Source organism: Homo sapiens, chromosome 3 (genome assembly GCF_000001405.40).
Source record: "Homo sapiens chromosome 3, GRCh38.p14 Primary Assembly".
In the NCBI taxonomy this organism is placed as follows: domain Eukaryota; kingdom Metazoa; phylum Chordata; class Mammalia; order Primates; family Hominidae; genus Homo; species Homo sapiens.
In genome coordinates, this window is record NC_000003.12 from 55,056,231 (window position 1) to 55,080,671 (window position 24,441).

General features: G+C 40.9%; 1 protein-coding gene across 1 annotated transcript in view, besides 2 other annotated features; it reads left to right on the forward strand.

The window, feature by feature from the left end:
* The window catches only part of CACNA2D3 (calcium voltage-gated channel auxiliary subunit alpha2delta 3), a 952,006-nt gene extending 933,679 nt beyond the window's left edge, over positions 1–18,327 (forward strand). The window contains exons 36-38 of the mRNA NM_018398.3: positions 17,215–17,327; positions 17,547–17,629; positions 17,884–18,327. Coding sequence (NP_060868.2) covers positions 17,215–17,327; positions 17,547–17,629; positions 17,884–17,976 — 289 coding nt within the window. The 3' untranslated portion in view covers positions 17,977–18,327. The remainder of the gene's footprint in view (positions 1–17,214; positions 17,328–17,546; positions 17,630–17,883) is intronic.
* Positions 6,167–6,782: an enhancer, noted in NCBI's record as "NANOG-H3K27ac hESC enhancer chr3:55096424-55097039 (GRCh37/hg19 assembly coordinates)". NCBI's record gives its function as "activates a minimal SCP1, AML or CMV promoter by ChIP-STARR-seq in naive H9 embryonic stem cells {active_cell/tissue: H9 hESC(naive)}" and the evidence as "EXISTENCE:reporter gene assay evidence [ECO:0000049][PMID:30033119]".
* Positions 23,153–23,397: a silencer, noted in NCBI's record as "fragment chr3:55113410-55113654 (GRCh37/hg19 assembly coordinates)". NCBI's record gives its function as "represses an EF-1alpha promoter that drives an FKBP-Casp9 reporter gene in an ReSE screen in HepG2 liver carcinoma cells {active_cell/tissue: HepG2}" and the evidence as "EXISTENCE:reporter gene assay evidence [ECO:0000049][PMID:32094911]".

Below are 24,441 nucleotides of genomic sequence, written 5' to 3' on the forward strand. Positions count from 1 at the left end.
TATACAAATTAAAATGACAATGAGATATCATTTCACACCTGCCAGACTAGCTCTTATTAAAAGGATGAAAGATAACAAGTGTTGAGAAGGATGTGGAGAAAAGCGAAACTTTGTACACTTTTGGTGGGAATGTAAATTAGTACAGCCATTATAGAAAACTGTATGGAGTTTCCTTAAAAACTAAAAATAGAATTACCGTAAGTTGTAGCCATCCTACTTCCGGGTATTTACCCAAAAGATTTGAAATCAATTTTTTAAAGAGATATCTGCACTCCCATCTTTACTGCAGCACTTTTCATAATAGCTAAGTTATGGAATCAACCTAAGTGTTCATCAATAGATGAATGGATAAGGAAAATGCAGTATAAGCGCACAATGGAATACTATTTGGCATTAAAAAGAAGGAAATTCTGTCATTTGCAACATCATGGATGGAATTGGAGATCATTATTCTATATGAAATAAGCCAGACACAGAAAGACAAATACTGCATGTTCTCACTTATATGTGGAATCTGAAACAACTGAACTCATAGAAACAGAGTAGCATGGTGGTAACAGAGGCTGAGGTAGAGGGAGGAATGGGGAAATGATGTTTGAAGGGTAAAAAATCTCACACAGGAAGAATAAGGACTGTTTCTGGAGTTCTGTTGCACATCATGGTGAATATAGTTAATAATAGTGTATTGTACATTTCAAAACTGCTACAAGAATAAATCTCAAATGCTCTCACCATGAAACATGGTATTTGAGGTGATGGATTCTGATATGATTTGGCTGTGTCCCTGCCCAAATCTCATCTTGAATTGTAGCTCCCATAATTTCCATGTGTCATGGGAGGGACCCGGTGGGAGGTAATTGAATCATGGGGGTAGGTCTTTCCTGTGCCGCTCTCGTGATAGTGAATAGCCACTATGTAAGACGTCCCTTTGCTCTTCCTTCGTCTTCTGCCATGATTGTGAGGCCTCCCCAGCCACGTGGAACCGTGAGTCAATTAAACCTTTTTCCTTTATAAATTATCCAGTCTCAGGTATGTCTTTATTAGCAGCATGAGAATAATACAGATATGTAAACAATCTTAATCATTCCACATTTTATTCATAAATTATAACATCACTTCATGCCCCATGAATATATACCAGTATAAATTGTCAGTTTACAACAAAATAATTTTTTAAATTATAAGGTCAAGATTCCCCCCATCCCACCAAAAAAGAGGGTTAGCAATGGAGAGAGCTCATGGAAGAAGATAATGGCAATAGCTAACTGAAGTCTGTTAACAGCCTGGAGAAATGTGAGATTTTTTTTGTTAAGGAGGAAGCAGTGATGTGAAAGCCAAATATTTTAGTATTATATTGGGAAGGGATCTTAGAAATCACTTATGAGGTAGGAAAACTAAGAAGAGGGAAGGAACAAAACACTTCTCATGGTGATTTGCCCATTAATTTAATTTCACAATGGGAGTTCAATTCAAGTCCATTAACTTCTGAACCAGTTGGCTTTCTGGCATACCCTGTTATCTCCCACCTCCATTTTTTTCTTCCCCTTTATTGCATATTGATATTCTTTGTGTGGATCAAGTATACACTGAATGGGAGAATAGTTCTGATTTTTCTTGTGAGAGATTTTTTTCCTATTTAGAATACAAAATGCTTTGTTCATGTCATGCAAAATGAACAAAATCCTTTGTTCATGTAATGCAAGATGTCCAACCTTTTATAAAGTAATTCTCAATGATCAAAATTTTGACAAATCACCAAAAAAAAATCCATAGGAACAGTAATTTAAAAGTCTAAAACATTGCCTTTCATCCAGTGTTTCTGGAATACATCTGTCTCTCTTCAAACGTCTTCCTGGCTATAGGTCTCTACCACGGTACTCACACTATTCAGAGTGAATAATCATGCTATGTTGTGATAAGGGACAGTTGAATAGGGGTGGGAATTATTTGGAGCATTGATTTCAGAAGTCAGAACCCAAAGTATAGCAGACTACATGATTTGTTTAATTATTTCCCTGGTATATTAATTCAAAGCTACAAGATATATTATTCAGAAAGCTTAGATAGAGTCAAAGTAGGAAGGCATGAATTCAGCTTTTATTTCAGTCAGCAAAAATGTATCAAGCTCCAATTGTAGATCAGGCAGTGATACAGCTGATGTTATAGAGAGATTCAGAGAGGATTCCTTCTGGGGAGAACCCACCCCAAGGATATACGGTAAAAATGAGTACATAGAAGAGGACAGCAAGGCCACTAAGGAGGGATTTCATTGTTCTTTCAATTAATGATCCTGGAAAAGTTTCACTCCGGTTTTAGTTTCTCTGGTGGTCAGCAACTGAGACTATAGAGTAAAATACTGATCACTGAGATTTAGTTTTAAAAATACATATATATATATGTTTTTTTTAAATAGAAAGTTATTATTCCATGGTTCTTGGTGCTTATTAAAATGTGATTCCTATTCATTGCAGAAAATTGAAAAATAGAGAATTGTGTAAAAAATAAAACAAAAATCACATGCCAGCTCATTACTCAGAACTAAGAGGCAGAAACGTTACATGCTCAGGCTCTGAGGCCAAATGGCCTGGGTTTGAATCCCAGGTTCACATCTTATTAGCTCTGTGACTTTGAGCCATTGCCTCATCTGTAAAATCAGGATAAGTAGAAGGATTTAAACGGTGTGATACTTCCCCTCCCCGCCGCCGCTCTTTTTTTCTATGCAAAACTGGCTTCATATTTAGCTCAATTGTTTTCTTACCATTAACATGGTACACTTAACAAAAATATTTTGTTCATGTAATGCAAGATGTCCAACCTTTTATAAAGTACTTCTCAATGATCACACTTTGACTTTGCCAGATCACATAAAGGGAGATGTTTAACTTCCCAGTGAATTCTTTATACTTTTAAAGTGTACACTTTTATTCAGGCTTCCTGATGATTCATTCTGAGGCTATTCTATTTTGCTAAATGAACCCAACAATTCACATGGAAATTGTGAAAGACAGTATAAAAGATGATAGAAAATAGAAGATTAGAACTGTGAGTTCTAGGTAATGTTAAATTCTCCCTTCGATGTAGGGACAGATTCTCTTTTCTCTGTTTACCAGAGAATCATTACATTACTATTGCCCAAACACATTTCCACATGAGATGTTGTTGTATTGAAACAGGAGAGTTATCTGACCCCCCTCGCAGGAAGTGCAACAGGGGTGTGGCTTGTCTGTTCTGGCTGTGGCTGCTGCTCAAACCCCTTATGGGATGGGGAACATGCAGACGGGCAGGTGCAGGAGCCGGGGTGGACACTTTTGGGCTCCAGCCCCACGGTGGCAACTAAGGTTGTGTGGCTGAAACTCTGGAAGCCCCAGTGGGCATGCTACAGTGCTCTTTTAGCTCTGCTGTCCATAGACAGCTTAAGTATTAACCAGCTTAGTGCCCTCTTGGTACCCGGGTTCTTGTCCAGCATCCGAGAAGAATCAGGTCACATATGGACTTGAAGGATGGTGGATACGGGGATTTTATTGGGTGATAGAGGTGGCACTCAGTGGGATGGATTGGGGGGTGGAAAGGGATGGAATGGGAAGATGATCTTCCCCTGGAGTTCAGCTATCCCACACCCGTTCTCCTCTCCAACCGTCCCCAGCCAAACTCCTTTCAACATTCAGATGCTCCTTTTCTTCTCTCCTCTGCCAGGCTGCTCTTCTGTTTATCTGCTCGTCTGCTTGTAGAGCCTGAGGTTTGGGGTTTATATGGGTACAGGATAGGGAGCATGGTGGATCAAGAGGCAATATTTGGGTGCAAAAACAGGAATAACTGTTCCCATTTAGAGCCACCAGTTTCCAGGCTTGAAGGTGGGGCCTTTGTCAGGGACCTGCTGTCTCCTACGCAGTATTTACTTGCCTCCTGTCCATATCAGTATGATGGGTGAGATGGCAGGCTCTATTGCCTGAGAGCTGGAATCCAGATCATACCTATTAAACCTGTGCTATCTTAAAGCAAAATCAGGTCTAATTATTGAAGTTCCTCACAGAGTTGGGAAATGAGTCCATTTTAGGTAAAGACTATCATACAATGCCTGTATAGGGTAAGTGCTCAGTAAGTGGTAGACGATGTTGGTGGTGATGGTGATGGTGATGATAGTCACGATGATGGTGGTGATTAGTTATATAGAGTGTAAAGGATGAAACAAAGGTTAGCATCAAGCAGGTCTAGCTCTGTAGAGTTTTGATACTTTGAGATTTGATGTCTTTTTAGGATTTGGGAAAGTTGTTTAACTTAATGCTTGAGTGTCTTCATCCATAAAATGGAGAAAATGATATTTCTTTGAGTTGGTGTGAAGATTAAAGGGGAACTGCTTAGAAAAGGGTTTGGCATTAAGTAAACACTCCGTAAATGTTAGCTATTATTGTCATTATTTATAAGAAAAGACATTAATAGTTTCAGTGAAAATAGTTAACAAACTCCTTACTCTTCTTAAGGGGATTAGAAGAAAAATGGTTCATGTCATAATTAAGAAGATTTACTGAAGACCCTAGTACAAAGAAAAAAAAAACTTTGAAAAACTAAAATGATAGCCAAGTTTTAAAAATATCCTTTGTTGTGAGCTCTTTTGAGATTCCCTTCCTCTGGGATAAGAAAAGAAAACTGGGCCCCTCTTCCTTTTCATTCCATGGGGGTTTCTCTCCCATATTTCAAACACAAAATACCATTCCTTGCCATCTGCCTTGGGCTGACAATGCCAAAGAACCTCCTGTCCAGGTTGTTTTCAAGCTGTAGGTCGGCACCATAAATCTCAATAAATCCTTGTGGGCTGAGGATGAGTGGAAGTCATTATCATGGCTCTTACTGATGCATTCTGTCTACAACAGAATAAATACCACCATGGGACACTGCCCTGCAGGCAAAGCATCCTTCTGGCTTTTTGTGTGCTTTCTCCATCAGCAAGTCACAAATGGAATGCCTTAATGTGTCTATTGTATACATTTTTGAATAAATAAGTATAACAAAGAGAATATGCTGGTCCGATTTAATCTTAGCACTTAACTATGAAAACACAGCACATTTCCCACACTGGTGAAACGGAGCAGAAGAGGCCTATACCAGCTTGGTTCTTGGCAGGCCATCCAGGGTAAACCGGGTGTGAGCCATGCTTATGGCTTCTAGGGCTCAGCTCCCTAAAGCCTAGATTTTCCAACTGCAGGGTGATCAGGCAATGTAGTGGTGATGATACGGAATTTAAGAGCTTATCACTTGATATCCTTTTGTTTACAAATGACAGAGGCTCAACTCAAGCAAGCTTAAACAATACAGGGAAAAGTTGAGATGTAAGCTTCAGATAGGGCTTACTCAAGTTTCCCAAAGGTTAAGACCAAGATCCAGGTTTTCTCTATGCATTTCCCAGCAGGCATTTCCTTTCATGAGCACAGGAAAGCTGCCAGTGGCTCCTGAGGCTGAAAATGTGTTTGTTTTCATATGTTTGGAGTAGAGATAAGAATTCTGCGTTTCAGACTGATTGAAATAACTTAGGTTCAGTACCCATCTCTGAACCCATTGCTTTCTCCAGGGGAAGGAATTGTACCAATCCGCTTAGGTCTAGACAGCATGCCTGGACAGGACTAGCTCCTCAGAAGCACCTGGGCTGCCTGAGGGAAGGGTGCAGTCCTTCCCAGAAGGAAGATATTTGTACCAAAAGAAGGGAGATTGGATATCAAAGAGAAACTTCTATAGAAGGTCAGACAGGGCTCTTTGTTTTCTGAAAGTGGTTGTGAACCTTGAAGAATGGTGAGAATAAACAAAAATTCTGGGCTGCTTCAACCTTGTACTATATTCTATGAAACCCATTTGCCAAAGAGCTTGTGCTACTTTGAATTATATTTTTATCTTTCATTTTTTGTTTGTTTGTTTTTTGAGACAGTGTCTTGGTCTGTTGCCCAGGCTGGAGTGCAGTGGCATGATCATAGCTCACTGCAGCCTCAAAGTCCTGGGCTCAAGTGATCCTCCTGCCTCAGCCTCCCGAGTAGCTGGGACTACAGGCACACATCATATCTGTCTTTTTTTTTTTTTTTGACATACAGCCTCACTATAAGTTTCCCAGGCTGGTCTCAAACTCCTGGGGTTAAGCGACCCTCCTTCCTTGGCCTCTCAAAGTGCTGGGATAACAGGCATGAGCCACCACACCTGGCTGTATCTTCTCATTTTCCATTGTTATTCAATGACGTGTAGAAAACAAAAAAAAGGAGGTCTCTGCCTTGCTCTCAGAAGTCTAGTAGGAAACAAAATTACCCAAATTACAAAACAAAATATTAATAGCTGTCTGTCTGCCTGGTTACCTAGAGAAAGATGGAGGAAAGGAAGACAGTAGCTGGCCTACTCACTATACTGTATTGATGATTAAATCAATTCCTACTGCCACCAACCTGTAGAATTGGAGGCGTCTGTCCTTACGGCTTTTGATTTGAGCTCCTACTGGGAAACCATTTGTTTTCTTATTTGTTTTGTTTATGGCTTCTTAATGTGTTTGACCTCTGCCTCCCATCTGACATTTACGGAAGTCTCTTATTGGATCTCACTTTTAGCTGCCCTAGAAGGTAACTCTTCCATTTGTTTTCCTGGGTTACAAAAAGAGAATTTTCTACACACTCCAAAGCTTACAGTTTTCAGACTATCCTTTGTGTAGCCTAGAGTGCTGATGTCTGTCCTAGTCATTTCCAGTGTAGCAGTACAAGGATGGCAAAGTCGCTGTGAGCATTTAATTCCACACACAAATAGAAAGCTGTGGATTTTATATGGGTGATACAGGTACCTACAACATGTCATGGGAGAATGGAGGAAGACATACTTCCCTTTGAGAAGGACGGCTTAATGGAGAAAGTGACATTTAATAAGTCTTTTATAACTGAATTGGGGTTCTCCAAAGGTATGGGAGGAGGTGGCTTCAACACTCAGAGGCTTGCTGGTCCCCGAACCAGCAGCATCAGTATTGCCTGGTAGAAGGTGAGAAAGGCAGAATCATAGGCCCTACCCTAGACCCACTGAACAGAAACTGGCATTTCAGCAAGATCCTCAGGTCATCCGTAAGCATACTCAGCTTAAGAAGCACAATTCTAGACCAGACAGTCTCAGCCTTGAAGGATGTTGGAATCACTCCAGAAGCTTAAAAGAAAAAAAAAAAAAGATGCCTTGGTCCTTCTTGCAAGGATTCCAATATAATTTATGTTAGGCATGGCCATCAGTAGAAAAAAAAATGCAAAATGAAACAAAACAAAATGCTCTTCAGGTGATTCCAGTGAGCAACCAAGGTAAGAATTAGAGCTCCATCTGGGTCTCAGCACTATGAGAGAAGCAGCATGGTGCACTCAGGGGCTCGTGGGTAGGTCAGCAGCCTGGATGTTGGACAGGAAGGTGGCTTTGGGGCTGGGATGGTTGAACACGTCAGGCTGGAGAGAGAGCCAGGTAGAACATAAAGGCCCTGTTTGCTTCACTCAATGCAGACCATCGGGTAGATGACAGGGGCTGTGGAAAGGTGTAAAAAGAGGGATGGGGTGTCAGCCTTGCACTTGGGAAGGACCACCTCAAGAATGGGCCGTGGCAGGGAGACCAGTTGGAAGATAAGCCTAACATTTTGCAGATTAGCAGGGTTGGCTTCATAATTGGCCAGGCCCAGTGCAAAATAAAATTGTGGGCTGCTTGTTTAAAAAGCAAGAAAAATGTATTCTTAAAGGTACTAAAAGGTAAAACTTTTTCCTTCTTTCTGTGGTCTCTCTTGACTGTTCATGATTTTTTTATTTGCCATTTTAATATTGTGCTCCTTCAGACACAGGGCTGCACATTGGCCCAGTGCTTAAGGAGCCCTGCCCAGTTACCTGGTGGGGTGCGCAGCTCAGCAGCCGCAGGGCTTCTCCCTCCCACTAGCCACAGGACCGAGGTGCTGTGTCCTGGCTGGAGGAGGGGACTGAATCTCCCCTTGCCAGGGGCTTGCTGTCCCTACTCATGGGGCACAGCCAGTCTACAAGGGATTTCAATCTTTGCATCAAATACCAAATACTTAGTACCTGGATCAGGGTGGGCGGGAGGTTTGCCCCTGCTAAGTCACCCACTGAACATGCTGTGGCACTGCCAGTCACTCCCAAGCCTTGACCCTCTGCTTGCCTGGCCCAGGCCCAGCCAGGTGCCGGTGAGGTGGGGGGCAGGGCTCTAGTTGCTGGGCTGAGTGCAGGAGGGGAATAGGTAGCTGGGAACACCCTGGGGAGATGGAGGAGAGTGCAACTGTACATGAGGCAAGCCTCAACCACCCCCTCCTCACAGCCCTCCTCTCTCCACTCCTGTGCATGCCCCATTGGCCTCTGGACTTCACTTATAAAACACAAATTCAAAGACACAGTTAAGAATTTTAAGACAGCCATGCCTGCAGAACACTGAACTCCAAGTGACCAGCCCTTCTGAGAGTAGGCCCCTCTGCAACTACACTGGTCACACCCATAAAGCTGGCCCTGCAGGATGGAGATGGGAGGATGGATTTGAGAGGCATTAAGGACATAGTCAAACCAGAGCATGGCAATGTTCAGGGAGGAAGATGTTCAGAGTTCATTGGAGATCTCTGGCTGTGTGACTGCATAGAGGGTAACACCATTAAGATATATAGGGAAACGGAGGAAATTATTATGGGGATGGGGGCAGGGGCAAGCTTTAGGGACCTGAGAACACTTCCTTCGTTCCAACAGAGAATCATCTGTCTTTTCTCTGATTTAATTGCATAGGCTGGTACTTTTAGAACAAGGTTAAATAACAGAGGAGAGTGAGCCTCCTTGCCTTCTTCTGACTCTAATTAGCCTGCTCTGAGTGTTTTATCCTAAGCATGATGCTAAATTTGATTCACAAAGGGGTGCCTACTTCTGTTCTTTTAAGGATTGTTTTCAGGGATGGGATTTCTGTCCAGTGTCTTTTAGGCACCTACTGAACAGATCCCACAGCACTGACTGTTTTCCCATGCTGTATAGGGTGTCTTACATGAACAGATTTTCTGGGATGTGAACTGGATGTCAAGTGGGGATTTTTTGTAGTCCCAGATTTAGGGGAGGACAAAGTGACACCATGCACCACAAGTTCTAGAGTTGGCTGGCACTAATTTAAAGTTGGAAATCCTACCCCAACCCCCTACTCCCACTCCAAGCTTATTTGGCTTAGAAAACGGGCCTGCCTTTTGTCTGCCATGTGAACACTGGTCAGGGCCTACCCAACAAGAATGTCAGTATTCATGCAAAGAGGTATTTCCTTCCAACAGACACTTTTACCCTTAGGCATGGGTCATGCTCCTGTGGTCCCAGCTCCTTGGGAGACTGAGTGGGAAGGATTGCTTGAGCCCAGGAATTCAAGGCTGCAGTGAGCTACGATTGCACCACTGCACTCCAGCCTGGACGACAGAGCAAGACCATGTCGAAAGAAAGAAGAGAGAGGAGGGAGAGGGAAGGAGAGGAGAGGAGAGGTGGGGGGAAGGGAAGGAAAGGAAGGAAAGGGAAGGAAAGGAAGGAAACGAAAGAAAAAAAAATTGTTTCATGTTTCTATTTTCATTAAGCTGGGACCACTCAATAATCTTGTTCACTTGCATTTCTAGGCCAATCCTCACTGTGGCATGCTATGTTGCTTTTTCAATGTCCTGCTGAAGTTTAGTTACTACATTTCATTTGAGATCATTGCATCAATAATCATAAGGAGAAAATATTTGTGTATTTCTCTTCCTGTCCACCTCCCTCCTACTGTCTCATAAGATGGCTATCCAGTTATGCTAGAACACATACAAAATAATTAAGCTTTCCTTTTAATTTAAACAGTCACCAAATGTTTGCTCTCAACTTATGGGCCCAGGTCCATGTAGGGAAACCTGGTGCTTGCTGGGGCAGGGCAGGTGGGGGATAGGGCCACTTTCCACCTCCAAGGAGAACAGGATCCTGGTGGAGAGCCACAGTCACGTGCTCCATCCAGCCGGGGAACAGGACACTGTGAACAGGGCCAGTGCCAAATTCAGTAGCTCCCTGGGACCGACTCATTGGCTTTCATTTTATCTTTGGATAAAATCTGGAGAATCTATATAAAGGGTAAAAATCTATAAAGGGTGAAATACCTCAGTCTAGGGTCAAAACGTTTTAAGATTCTATCCTGACCAAATATTTTTCAAGCTACAGTTTTGTACCCATTTAATGAAAGGCAAGCCAAACAAGCTCTCCACATGTGCAATCCTGTGGTCCTCGGGGGATCTTATCCCTGCGTTCCTCCCCATCCCGCGTGCTTGTTTGGAGGGAGTATGAGGGAGGCATGGTGATCGCTTTCATCATTTGCTCAGGAAAGCCCCTCTCGGAAGATAGTGTGCGGCAAATACTCTGTCTTGTCACGGGAGGCTGTCTTGAAATCGCATCATCTTTTTCCCTCCAGTTCTTCCTCTGTCTGTAGTGAGTGGGAAAGGGAGGACTGGATTATTTCAGTTCTGGCAATGGACACATCAAAATTGCTTCCCTCTCCCAACTCCCTTTCCCTCGAGGACCTAATTTATTTCACGCATTTTGACCTATCCCTGCTTAGAAACAACCGCTGTGATTCTCTGCTGAGGCATTTCCCTCCTCGCCTTTTTTGGCCCCCAGGCAAACCCACCAGGCCACAGCCCCTCTGACTATGATGTCAGCCTGGCTGCTGGGCCCAGCTGGATGGAGGTGTGTTTTATGAAGTTCAACCCTGCACCCTGGGCCATAAATACACATTGTACACATAAATGTACAGCTAACATTGCCCAGGCCCCTCCGAAGCACCATGTTAATAAGCAGACAGTAAGTCTTTAAAATATGGAAAAGTAGTTAATCTTTCCGCTGGCAATCTTTTGTAGCGGGGGGGGCTTTTCTCCTCTCAGTGTAGCTGCTTTCAGGGCTTTTCAACTCCTAGGATTTGGGAAAGAAAGAAGGAAAGTTGGCTGTGGGACTTTGAAAACAATGCTATCTTGCATTTGCTGTCATTAAGCATCTGCACTGAGTGATCACTCTGGGTCTGTCCTCAAGGAGTTTGAGCTCTAATCGTTCCAGCACGAGACAGACAGTCTGCTGCCTGTGGCAAAAGAACCACACTAGCCTGGGCTCCGGAGGGCTGCAACTTTGGGTTTGAACCTCTGCTCTGCCCCGGTTACTCTAGGTACTTAGTTTTTTGTTTCCCTATCTGTAAAATGGGCATAATTTTATCTTATTCATATAGCTGTGGTAAGAGTTTACTTATCCTCGTTGAGTTTCAGTTTTCTCTTTTGTAAAATGGGCTTGACCCTCACAGTTCACTTTATACTTGTTTTAAGAAGACATTAATACATTCTCCTTGTAGAGAACTTCAGGGTTACAGATGGAGTTCAAGTGTCCCTTGACAGTTACTCCCTGTCACAGTCCTTTCTTCAGAGGTAACCACTGTTGCTGGTGTGGTGTGTAACCTTCCTGACCTTTATTTATACATCCATGCATTAGATACATACATACATACATACATACATACATAAAGACAGAGCGATAGATATATAAAGAATTTATAGAAATGTGTCTTTTTTTTGTACTCACTTTATGTATAAATGCCAACTACTTACCAGGCAAGTAATCCTAGAGGTTACAAAACAAAAAGCCTTACCAAGAAATTAAGATGCTCAAATCACTTGGCTGATTGAATTCATTTAAAGCATATGGCTAGAAGCAAGGGGAAAGAGGACGGAGGATCTCCCTCCCTGTAACCTGTGTTATGCACTGTTCCTCTATTCTCCTCTTCTCTCTCCCATCTTCCCTTCCTTTCCCTTCCCTTGTCTCCACCCTCTCCTGCTCTGTCTCCCACTGATGGTGTAGCGAGGAGGACCACACTTGAGGGTCCTCAGTCTGGAACAGGGCCTAAGCAGGCAGAAGGTGCCTGCAGCCAGCACACACTTGCCTTATTGGAGAGGTGCAAGGGCAAGTGTGTAGCTTGCCTGTAACCTCCTGAGCAGCCACACATTTATCTGTGTGTCTCAGGCAGAGAATGGATGTTGCCAGTGAGTTAATTTAAGGATGAGCCAGGAGAGAGCTATCATCAACCTAGAGACAACAAGGTCTGTGCCTTAAGAATTGAGCGCATTTAATTTTACGTGGTCCTTCCCTTCCTTCTTCTCTATAGGAAGACACTTCATATGTTCTTCCTTTACTATTTCTGTTCAACTTGCATACGCTCTACTTATTGAGTCCATTTACTCTAGTCTAACATGAGTCATGGGTCACTTAAGTGCTATCTATACCTAATACATCTTATAAGTTTTATCCATCTCATTTATTTTTCTTGTTTCTCTGTAGCAGAATTAAATATTCTTAAATAGTCCTAAATATTCTTAAATACTGGTACTTTACGTATAGTTTTACAACATTATTTTCCCACTCAACGTCTTGGGTCTCCTTTCATGACAGTAAATAGAGATCCTCTTCACCCTGTCACCTGGTGCCAAGAAGACCACCGAGTGGACATATTCTTGCTTATTCAATCATTGCCCCATTGTTGGACATTTAGGTGGGGTTTTTGCTTTTTCTTTCTTACAGTGAACGTTGCTACCAAGAGCATCTTTGTACATGACTTCTTGGGTTCTGAACATGAGTTTACTTTACTGAGAAGTAAAACTACAGAGAAATAGGGTGTAAAAGATTTCCACTATAATAATAACAAATTGTCCTCATAGTAGCTATAAGTTTCACTTTCCCACCTGTGGTATAGAAGAGTATTCATTTCTTCAGACTTTCTCCATTATTTGATATTATCATAGACTTAAATTTTTACCCATGTCCTAGTCAAATCATTATTTTCACTTATACTTCTCTAATTTTTAGTGAGATTGAACCCGCTTTTACCTATTTGTTACTCATCTGTGTTTCCTCTTCTATGAATTGTCTCACGAGTTTCGATGCTGGATATGGCAAGCAACTGCCCTTCCCTTTTTTATAAAACCCAATCTTTTATGATTGTCCAGACTATTCTCTATATTTACTCTTCTGAAAGAATCCTAGAATCATGTTCTCAAATTCCATAAAATATCCTATTTTTATTGAAATTGCTTTGAATTAAAAAGTTAATTAAGAGAGAAATGACATATTTAAAATATGAGTGTTCCTTTCCACCACCATTGTACTTCCCTCCAATTTTTAGCTAGTATTTTTATGTTCCTCAGTAAATTTGCATCATTTTCTTCATTAAGGCATATGTTTTACTAGATTTATTCTTGGGCCTTTTATACTGATTATTGATACTATCAATGGTTCTTTATTTCACAAATATTTTTCGTTGGTTATTGCCAGTGTCAGGCTGTGGTTTTATATGCTGATTATGTAACTAGCCAGCTTGCTGAGTTCTTTTATTAGTTCTAGTAGTTGGTCAGTGGGTTCATGTGGGTTTTCTATGAACACAGCAATATCTGTTCTCTGGGTGATTGATTGGGTAGAATTCACCTGGGGGTAGATTCTCAATGAGCATTTCAGTTTTGTTCATGGCAATTGGTCTGCTCATGATTTTTATAGCTTGGCCAAATGTAGATAATTTATGCTTTATCCCCAAAGGCGTGTTTTCTCTTAAGTTCTCAGATTGTTTACAATGCTATACATAATGGTCACCAAAAAATGTTGAAAATGCTCCCGTATCTTACAGGTTATAATGATACTTTGTGACTTAATTTCTTGATCATGAGTGCCAAAGTTAATTTATGTCAGTAAGCTTTTAAACCAGAGTTTGATTCTGTTGGTTATCTTCACAGTTTAATTTTTTATTCTTCTGCCTTTATCATTTCAAGTTCTGTCACTGACTCAACAAATACTTACTGAGAAGTTGCTCTATCCCAGGCACAACCCTAGGTGCTAGAGATAACTCACAACCTCAGGCAGTCAGGTGCAGCCCTGTTGCCTTGGAAACTACAGTCTTTTATGAGGGGCAGACAGTAAACAAGCAAGGAAGAAGAGGCAGAAGGAAAGTGGTGAAGTCATTGGTGTCCTTGGCAATAACTGATTCAGTTGGAGTGATGAGGACTACAGCCTTGTTGGAATACAATTTCTGAAGGAGGGAGATGTGTGAAGAGAGAGAGTTGGAGGGAGAGAGAGAAGGATTATAGATAATTATTTTTAGGAGTTGTGCTATAAGGAAAAACAGAGAAATGGGGTGGTTGCAGGAGGGAGGGTTAAGAGACAGTTTTGTTTTTCCTGAGCTGGGAGATGTGACAGCATGTTTGCCAACCTCCAGGAAGGGCTAGTAGATGAGGGGAACCATTTGTGCAGCGGTCACCTATCTCTTCTTTTCCACCAGTCACATCCTTGAAGAAGCCTGAAAGATAGGCTTTGCAGAGGGACATTAATACTCAATCCAGTGGACAAGGGGGAAGACAATGTATAGGGCACAGGTGCAGGTTTATCTTCTTATTTTTCCAGCTTCTTGATTTGAAAACTGAGTCAAATATTTGCGACCTTTATTTATTTTTTCTGATGAAAATGTCTAAGGTTCTACCGCACAAATGTGAATCTGGGCTATTATCAAATCTCAAGGATTGATGAAAGGTGTTTTTTAACTTTTAATTTTCACTGTTTATATCTTTTTGGTATTCATTTCTAATTGGACTCTACCATAAAAGAAGAATGTGTAATCAGTACTATAGGTTCTTTGGAATGTGTTGCAGTTCCCTGTGTTTGAAAATAATTTATATTCTGTGCTGTTTATATCTGAAGAGTTTTGGGTCCATATTTTTAACAGATCATGCTTTCAGAAATCCCTTTTGTTATTTCTTTCAGTTAGTATACTGTGATCATTATGTGACTAAAGAATCATATTTTATCTTGTTAGTGGATTATAATACTTTTTGGTATGAACTCTTATTTACTATATTTTAATGATATTTATTTTACTCTGAATATCTGTATATTACTGCTAAACCTGAACCTGTTTCTTTTTTTGTTAGCATATTTTTGATATATTTTCCCCTTCTCCTGTGTCATTCTGTTTTAGGAGTGTTTGTGGCAAACAAACATCATAATGTTTATAAACCCAATTTAAGAGTCTTTGCCCTTTTAATATGTGAATCTAACAACCTCACAGTTATTGTGATTGGTAATAATTTTAGGCTTATACTGGCAGTCATGTGTCTGTAGGGGGTGTTTAATTTCTCATGCTATCCATATTGATCAGGTTTTAAATACTTTTTAATATTTTTCAATGATTATTCCTAATTTGAAAATATAATTTTCTATAAATATCTACAGAGATTTAGAATATAGACACTGGCATACCTTTGACTGACTCTCTTTTTTCCTCAGAACTTCTTTAAATATTTTACTCTGTTTCTTCATCTTCAGTACTCCCATTGAGCAACTGGTTTTATTCTCATTCTAAGTAATTTGTTTCTAGGGAAGCTTTTAGGATTGGTCTGTATCTTTGATGATTGATGATAGGAAGTTTTTTACTCATGTTTCAGTGGGCTCACTCATTGAAAAGAATTGGATTTGTTTTTTCAGTGCAAGAAATATTTTCTCCTTTGGATCTTTTATGTCATATTTTCATCTCTTCTCCTTTATTGTTCATCTGGCAGACACACTTGGCTTAATCTTCTAGTCAGCCATTTGTTCTTCAGAGTGTTTTGTGATCTTGGTTTTGTACTTGTCTTTGAGACTCTGTTAACCTGCCGCCTCAAAGGTGGAAATTGTTGGTTCTCTGATGAGAGCTAGCTATCTCAGGTAGAATATATTTATGTTGATGGGCAAAATCCATTCAGTAGAGGCCAACTGCTGGAGTAACATTCTTGCATAGGCAAGAAAGAGTCTAGTGTTAAAGAGGGAAGGTAAAGAAGATACAGACAGATATAGATGAAATTAATTAGCAAAACAGCAAGACTGAATATTTTTCTGAGGCCAGATATAGTTCTAGACAAGAGTAGGAAGAGCAGAGAGTAGGTGTCCCAGTGTGGATAGTGGTTAAGGCATTGAGGAAACATCTTTGCACAGTGGCAAGCCCTGTGAACATAACTGTGGAATATTAGATGGGCATTGGGCATTTATAGAAAAGAAAGAAACCAATTGTGTTGCAGTCTCTCTGAGAGGCATTCATGGATCATTCTCATGGATCATTCAACATATGAGGTGGCAACAGGTTAAAAAAGGGGGAGTCCCTTTCCCTTCTTTATAACGTCCCATAAAGCAGAAGAACTTTTCTTCATTGCATGATTTTAGTTCACCATGGTGATATACTCAAAAGAATGGAACAAATTTATTGCGAGAAAGGCAAATGAAGATAAAACTTTGGAGAAACTGACAATTTTGTTAATTTCCATTTGTTAAGTTAAAATCTATTAAACTGAATTTAATGAAATATTATGCGATAGGGGTTCTAACCCTGGAGTTAAATATTTAGCTAATCTGGTTCTGGAAGAATATGAGATTTTGATCCCTCATTTGTTCCTCCAAAGAAAGAGTCAGTAGTGTTTTGTGTTTGTTAAAGGATTATTTTATAGTGTCTTTCTTTGTCACTTCACCATGTTGGGCAATGTGAGAAGGAGGCACTGCCAAGCTTGTTTAAGTTGGACTAACTATCCTGATGGATCAGAAGGTCAGAGCAGATATACAGCCTTGGCTCTTTCTTATAGAACTTGGGCTCTGGGAAGTGTGGGACCTCATAAATGACTAGCATTAATCTCATTCAAAACACTGTTCCTGTATACTGGGCAGACGTTGTGCAAAGCAGTATAAGGAAGGCTCTAAGAAGTTCACTATCTCTTTTGCCATTGGTATGACATAGTTTCAGTCTATCGTTGAGGGAAGGAGGAGAGAAAACGCCACTTAGAGGAACATCAAATGTAACTTGGGGTAATGTTTAGGCTCTGGGAGAAGGAAATTAGGCTTTGAAAGTCTGACCTCTTAAACCTTGGGAACAGGTGATTCAGCCAACTCTGACTCTTGTGTTTTGTACATACAGCACTTCAGTCTTTCCAAGGTGAGTTGTATGAGCCGCATGTCGTCATAGCTATTGTTGTTTTCCTAGTGAAGCTAGGTATTTGTAAGTGAAGAGCCTCATGGAGAAAGAAGGTAACATTAGTAGTAAAATAGTCTCCAAAATTTGCTTTACAAAATATGGTAGTTGCTACCACCCAGGAGAGAAGTCTTCCTCATGGCTCTTTAATTGACGGATGGTAAATGACTGCCTCGCTACCTCTTGTTCCAACAGGTCCTTTGTCATCCAGCAAATCCCAAGCAGCAACCTGTTCATGGTGGTGGTGGACAGCAGCTGCCTCTGTGAATCTGTGGCCCCCATCACCATGGCACCCATTGAAATCAGGTATATCCTTTTGTGTGCAGGTCCACTCACTACCACGGAAACCAGTAAGGGGTATCAGTGGTAAGGAAACCTGGGGGAGAAATATTAGAGAAGGAAAATTACATCCTTTCCACTGTTGGAGAGAGAGAGTAGTTAAGAGAGTTGTCATTGCCAAATTTTGACCTCTGAAATGCAGAGTAGAAAAAAGCAATCCTTGGAAACATGCCTTAACTACAGTCAACATAATGAATCCCTTAAGTGTGAACGTCTAAAGGCCCAGAAGATCAGAAGGCGCCCAGAATCTTGTCATGGCTTCCATCCTGAGGTAAGTCTGAGAACTGTTCCTGTTTCCTTTTCCCATCAGAATCACCACGAGAGTCTCACACTGGTCAAAGAACTACAGCTGAAAAGTTCACTCATGAGAAAATAATCCCTTTCATTCAGTAAACTGAATCTGCACCATCATCTAGGTCCCAGAAGACTTCGTTCTTACGTTAGAGAGGGGGAGAGAGGTCTGGGGAAAGTTGAAGGTGTCCTGGAGTCTATTTCCGTCTAACCAACCCCTGCCTTTCCCCATAGGAGAATGCAAGGGAGTGTGGGGGTGCGCCGAGTCTCCAAGCCCAGACAGTCCTCCTTCTGCTCCCTCTGCTTTTGATGCTCTTCTCAAGGTGACACTGACTGAGATGTTCTCTTACTGACTGAGATGTTCTCTTGGCATGCTAAATCATGGATAAACTGTGAACCAAAATATGGTGCAACATACGAGACATGAATATAGTCCAACCATCAGCATCTCATCATGATTTTAAACTGTGCGTGATATAAACTCTTAAAGATATGTTGACAAAAAGTTATCTATCATCTTTTTACTTTGCCAGTCATGCAAATGTGAGTTTGCCACATGATAATCACCCTTCATCAGAAATGGGACCGCAAGTGGTAGGCAGTGTCCCTTCTGCTTGAAACCTATTGAAACCAATTTAAAACTGTGTACTTTTTAAATAAAGTATATTAAAATCATAATCTCCGTGTTTGGATTTTATCATCACTTTATTGCTAAGAACACCAACTGAAAACAATGCATGGGGGAAAAGGTCCCCATTCCAGAAACCAGGAAATGATGGCTGTTGGCAGAGCCTTTGTTCTAAAGCAGATTCTAGGCACATATTTAACAACTGTTTTTAGATGCTTCACTCACTCTCAGTTATAAAAATATTTATAGAAGTATATCAAAATATCATCTACATGGGAAGAGTTTATTACATAGAACCGTGAATTTTGTTGAACTAAACTTCAATGAAAATCATAATTTGGATGCAAACACAAGCTTTCATCATATTCAAGTGGTGAATTATTTGGGAATAGAAATAAAGAAGTCATAAATCCTAGGAATTCGGTCTGAGGAGACTTGAAGGAGGAAAAGAACAATGATTACAAATTTGGCTTCTGGCTTTCCCCATAAACAAGATATGAAATTAGATCTCAAGTATGATGAGATGAAACTACCCAGACATGTAAGCAAGCATTTCTAAACGCTGGCTCTTGACCCAAAGAAAACAGATTTCACTGGATCATGGTTACTAAATAAAGTGAAATAATTTCCATGCCTAGGCAGAGTAGAGAATGCCTTACTTTATAGGACAGACGACATCTAAAAGTTATCCAGAGAATCCTACTTACTTACTTAAACTCTTTTAAAAAGGGGCACATTATCCTCTTGATATTTTAGAAAAACTGATGTCACTGTACTGCTTTATACTAAAATGATTCCACTACATTGTTTGTTGTTTGTTGTTATAACTTTTAAAATTAAATTACTATGCCTCCAGTGCTGTTTGTTTGTTCTCAACATCACAATACTGTAACAGGCAAACTTGCCAAACTTTCAACAGCCATGGAGCTATAGAATTGTGACAATTGATGTTACTCACTCTGTGCACTTGGTAAATGAATAAATTCATTTGTTGCTCATACAAATATAAAGATAGATATATTACATTTACACTGACACATTGATATCAGATAAGGAGCCACAATTTATTAAGCTGGAATGATTGATGATAAGACTCTAAACCCATAAAGTTACAAGTATAAAGACATTCTATTTACAAGTATAAAGACATTCTATTTATACCTAAGGTGATGACCAGAGGAAAATTGAGCTTAATACTGAGAGAGATGAATTTATCACAGATCTAGGTGATTTATAGGAAAATTATTTAGGTGATTTTAAAAGAGAGCAAGTTAGATGATTTATAAGAGAGAAATCATATTTTAATTAATTTTTAACAAAAATAACATCACATAACCTATGATTCTCCATTACAGTTCTTAAAAACTGGCAACAATAAGTCAAGCATATTATGTTATAATGCCCATAATTTAATGCAAATGATGCAAAATACATGTAATATAATTACGTATAATTCCACTCCCAGTCTCATTCTAAACGATGGAGTCATTTTTGTTAAACTGTTTATGGCATAAATATAGCATCCTTGAGTCACACTGCACCTCATGCCCTTGTCACGATTACATTCATGTAACTGACCCACCAGGCACCTCTGATTCGCTGTTCTCACAACAGCTTCAAGCAACTGGACCCTGTTTGTTTGTCTACTTTGAAATTGAATAATTTTCTCCAACTTAATGTGTCCTAAGCACAACTCACGATCCCCCTCCATTAAACTTTTTTCTTCCCACTGACGCAACTCCAACCCCAAACCTTGGGGCCACCCAATTTGCTCTTTCCCCCGCAACCCACCTTGCAGCAAGTCTCACGAGCTGTGCCCTTCAAACACCAAACCTGACCATCACTTTTCCCAGCCCCTCACTGCTGCCATCCTCTTCCCAGTCACCACCCCCGTCCCTGGTCTCTGAAGACCTATGTCCTCATTAGTCTCCTCTCTTCCACTGTCAGCGACCACCCAGTCCCACTCCACAGTCCGTTCTCCACACAACAACCAGAGCAGTTTTTCGGAAACAAATATCTGATCCTAGCCTTGCCCAGTACAATTAAAACAACATACACATCCCTTACTGTAGTCCACAGCAGGGGTTCTCTGAGTCTTCTGTGTGTTCGAATCACTCAGGGACCTTTCAAAAAATCTCTGGGGCAGGCCGGCCATGGTGGCTTATGCCTGTAATCCCAGCACTTTGGGAGGCTAAGGTGGGCGGATCACCTGAGATCAGGAGTTGGAGACTAGCCTGGCCAACGTGATGAAACCCTGTCTCTACTAAAAATACAAAAATTAGCCGGGCATGGTGGCAGGTGCCTGTAATCCCAGCTACTCGGAAGGCTGAGGCAGGAGAATCGCTTGAACCCGGGAGGAGGAGGTTGCAGTGAGCCAAGATCGCGCCACTGCACTCCAGCCTGGGCGACAGAGCGAGACTCCATCTCAAACAAACGAAAACTCTGGGGCAGAACCCAGGCATTTTAGTTTTTGTTAAAACTCCCCAGGTGATGTTAATATGAAGCCAGGTTGGCATCCGCTGAGCTGTGGGACCTACAGGGACTCGGCTAGACTCTGCCTCCCTTTCCCACACCATCCTGTGCTGCTCTGCCCCAGACCCGCTGTGCTCCATGGCTCTGCCTCCAAGCCTTTGAAAATGCCAGGCATGGTGCCCACTCAGGGCTTTTGTTTTTCATGTGCCTTCTGCCTGGAGGGCTCTGGACCCTGGTCTTCATGTGGCTGCTCCTTCCCAACATCCACGCTCCCTTCAAAAATTCCTTCCTCAGAGACCCCTGGTACAGCTGCTCTTCTCCCCTAGCCCCACTCCTCTGGTTTTACTTTTCCTTTACATCAGTATCTGGAATCATTTTATTTTCAGTTTCACCTACTGTATTCCAGCTCCATAGGTCAAGGACTCCTCTATCGTTCGTGACTTCATCTCCAGCTCCCAGAACAGTGCCTGGCCTATAATACAACTAAAACCACCAATAACAGTGACAAAGCTAGCACCTACTGTTTACTGTGATCTGACTCTCTCTGCCTGGTGTTATTTGAAGTGACTTCCATGTTTAACTCGTGGGATTTTCACAGCACACCTAGGAAGTAGGTGTGATTCTGATCATCATTATACACATGGAGAAATGGAGGCACAAGGGGAAAAGTCATGCTCCCAAAGGTCACATGGTTGGAAAAGAGCAGAGTTGGGATTAGAAGCCAGGCAATTTTGCTTCCGAGTCAGGGCACTCAGCCAATCAAGTACTTCGAATGGATGAATGAATTGCCAATAACTTTGTACTACAACATCTCCGCGTCTCCTACCCACTGATCTTATTGCCATCTCTCCAAACTGCTTGGCCTCCACTCCCTGCTCTCTAATACCAGCCTGCCAACTCACCTCCCTGAGTGCGGCTGCTATTCCTGTCCTCCCACTTCCAGGCCACTGTCTGCTGCCCAGCAGCCCTCCCCTGTCTTCATTTCTCCCCGTATCTCACTTAGAATACACAAGTCACATAACATTCTATGGCTACCCGAGCTGCTGAGCACATCTGGGCTGCCTAGCATACCTGGGCAGAGCAGTAAGCAGCCTGACATATTCTTTCCTGAGTCGACTTCTATCCCACTGTCCCCAACAAGTATTTCATAGTTTCTTCCCTCTCTTTAGGATATTCTAGAGTATGTTGTCTTTCTAAAATTTGCAGTAGGAGATTTCTGTATGCAATATTAATATGATTGATACCAAACATATCCAAAGGTAACTTATCAGAGAACATTTTACTAAAATGTACAGTTTATGACTAATTAATGTGATATAGTTTAATAGAGCATTATATAGCACAATTAGTTACTAAAGTTATAGGCTGTGACATTCAATATAATTTGTAACAGATTCAGAAGGTATCTATAGCTAATCATAGTGTAGCAACGTTCTTCCTAAAATATAGAACTATTTCATATATGCATGTATATACTTGTATAATTATAAAATTCATTGTATGTATATACTAGGTAAAATTCATAAAATTATAATAGAACAATTGCAATATTTATTGAGGGTAGAATACTAAAATGCAGCATAGACAAGACAATGCAATGATACCTCCATGTGTCCTAAAATTAAAGACTGGCCGGCTCCATGTGCCGTCCTTTTAGGAGCAGTATTGAAGGGAACACAGAATTAGAATAATGTAGCACACTAAAATAGGATTGTAATGGTGTCGGTAAAAACTACTATTTAATGTGTGAAGTAATTTAGGATGAGGAAATGTACATTATTATTTAAATTATGAACAGTACAGCACTGTAGAGGATAATAATATAGCTCTTGTTATAGGAGACTCTGTAGTTTAGTAAAATATTAAAATTACAGGCAGAAAGAGCACAGCTTTATTACTATCAGTATCAGAGGTCATAATAATTTAACAGACCCCTGAGGGCCATTTGCAGTGTCTGCAATTTGGAAGCTTTGCAAAGATGTCTCTAATTGGCACATATTTGCTGGAGAGTCAGCTGGGGGCATTTCTACTAATAGGACTTCGTCACACACACGCCGCTGGTAGTGACCAAAATTCCTACTGGGGGCTTTGCAGGCATCGTTTCCCTTAATCCAGTGGTTACAGACCGAGACGACTTTGCCCCAGAGGGGTCATTTGGCAATGGCAGAAGATACACTGTGGGGGAAGGGGCAGTGCTACTGGCATCTAGTGGATAGAGACCAGGGATGCTGCTACCATCCTACAAAGCCCAGGACAGCCCCCGACAACAAAGAATTGTTTGGCCAAATGTTTCAACAGTGCCAAAGTTGAGGAACCCTATTCTAATCCTTAAGGATTATTAGGGATTTTGTCTTTACAATTTAATGATGCCATTAACCTTCGGTATCCCTATTGGCATCTAAATTATGGAGGTTGACTGTACCAATGCTGGGAATCTCTTCCATAGTGTAAGAGAGTAAACTACAGATTCAATAAAATAGCAATCTAGCTACATTGTATCTTAAACTATTCAGGTGGTGGCCTCCTTGTCATCCAGGCCTCAGCAGTTTTCCACCGAACACCCAGGAATGCTCTCTCACTACCTACTGTTTCGTTCACACCATGGTACTCACTAGAATGTGTCATTTTCTCATTTACTGCCAGAGTCCCCTCTTCATATCCTATGTGGCAGGGACTCATCTGTGTTGACTGTTGTATCCTCAATGCTTGGAGTAACTCCCCAACTTCAGTGACACCCAGAAAGCATTTGCTGAATGAATAAACCACCCACATGATATTATTTATCAAAACCTTCTGTTTGCAAGGTACCACACAGAGCCCTTTACAACATTTCATGTAAATCTTGGGACCACCAAATGATGCACTAAGTCTCAACAAGCAAGTTACCCAGAGTTACTAGGGCCAGTAAGAAACAAGGCCTTACTCCACACTTTTTACCCTTAACCGTAACAATATGCAGCTGGATACCATAGTCCTGTCTTGTATCAGACACCGGTTCCCTCTTCTAGGTAGTAAGTCAAGATAGCAATACTTTCTAGTTTAGGATATTATAATTCAGCAGCATTCGGACACTGTAAAGGCAACATACAATAGTAGATTATAGCGATACTTCTGCTGCCTATGATTAGAAACAGCATATGGTAATACGACATGATGGCTTCATCTTTACTGCTTTCAAAATACAATACTTTCCACTCATATGCACATTACAGGCAATGTAGTGTTGTTTAAACCAGGGATCAGCAAACATTTTTCTTAAAGAGCCAGAGTAATTGGCTTAGACTTGGTGGGCCTTATTGTCTCTGATGCAGCTGTTTAACTCTGCCATTACAGCTCCAAAGCAGCTATGTTCTAATAAAACTATATTTAAGGACATTAAGGACACTGAAATTCAAATTTCATATATTTTATATGCCAAAAATATTACTCCTTTGAGGTTTTTTTTTTTTTTTTTTTTGCAAGCGTTCAAAAATGTAAACACCACTGTTATACTGTGAGCTATACAAAAGAAGCAGCAGGACAGATTTGATATGTGAGGCCTAATCTGTCAGTCTCCTAATTTAGAATATCGCTGCTGCCAATTTTTGAAGCTCTCATAATATGATGAGTTAGGAACATCCTTGCAACATTACAGATGTGTACACTAGAATAATGTCAGTCCTATGGATATTGGAAATACTATATTACAAATG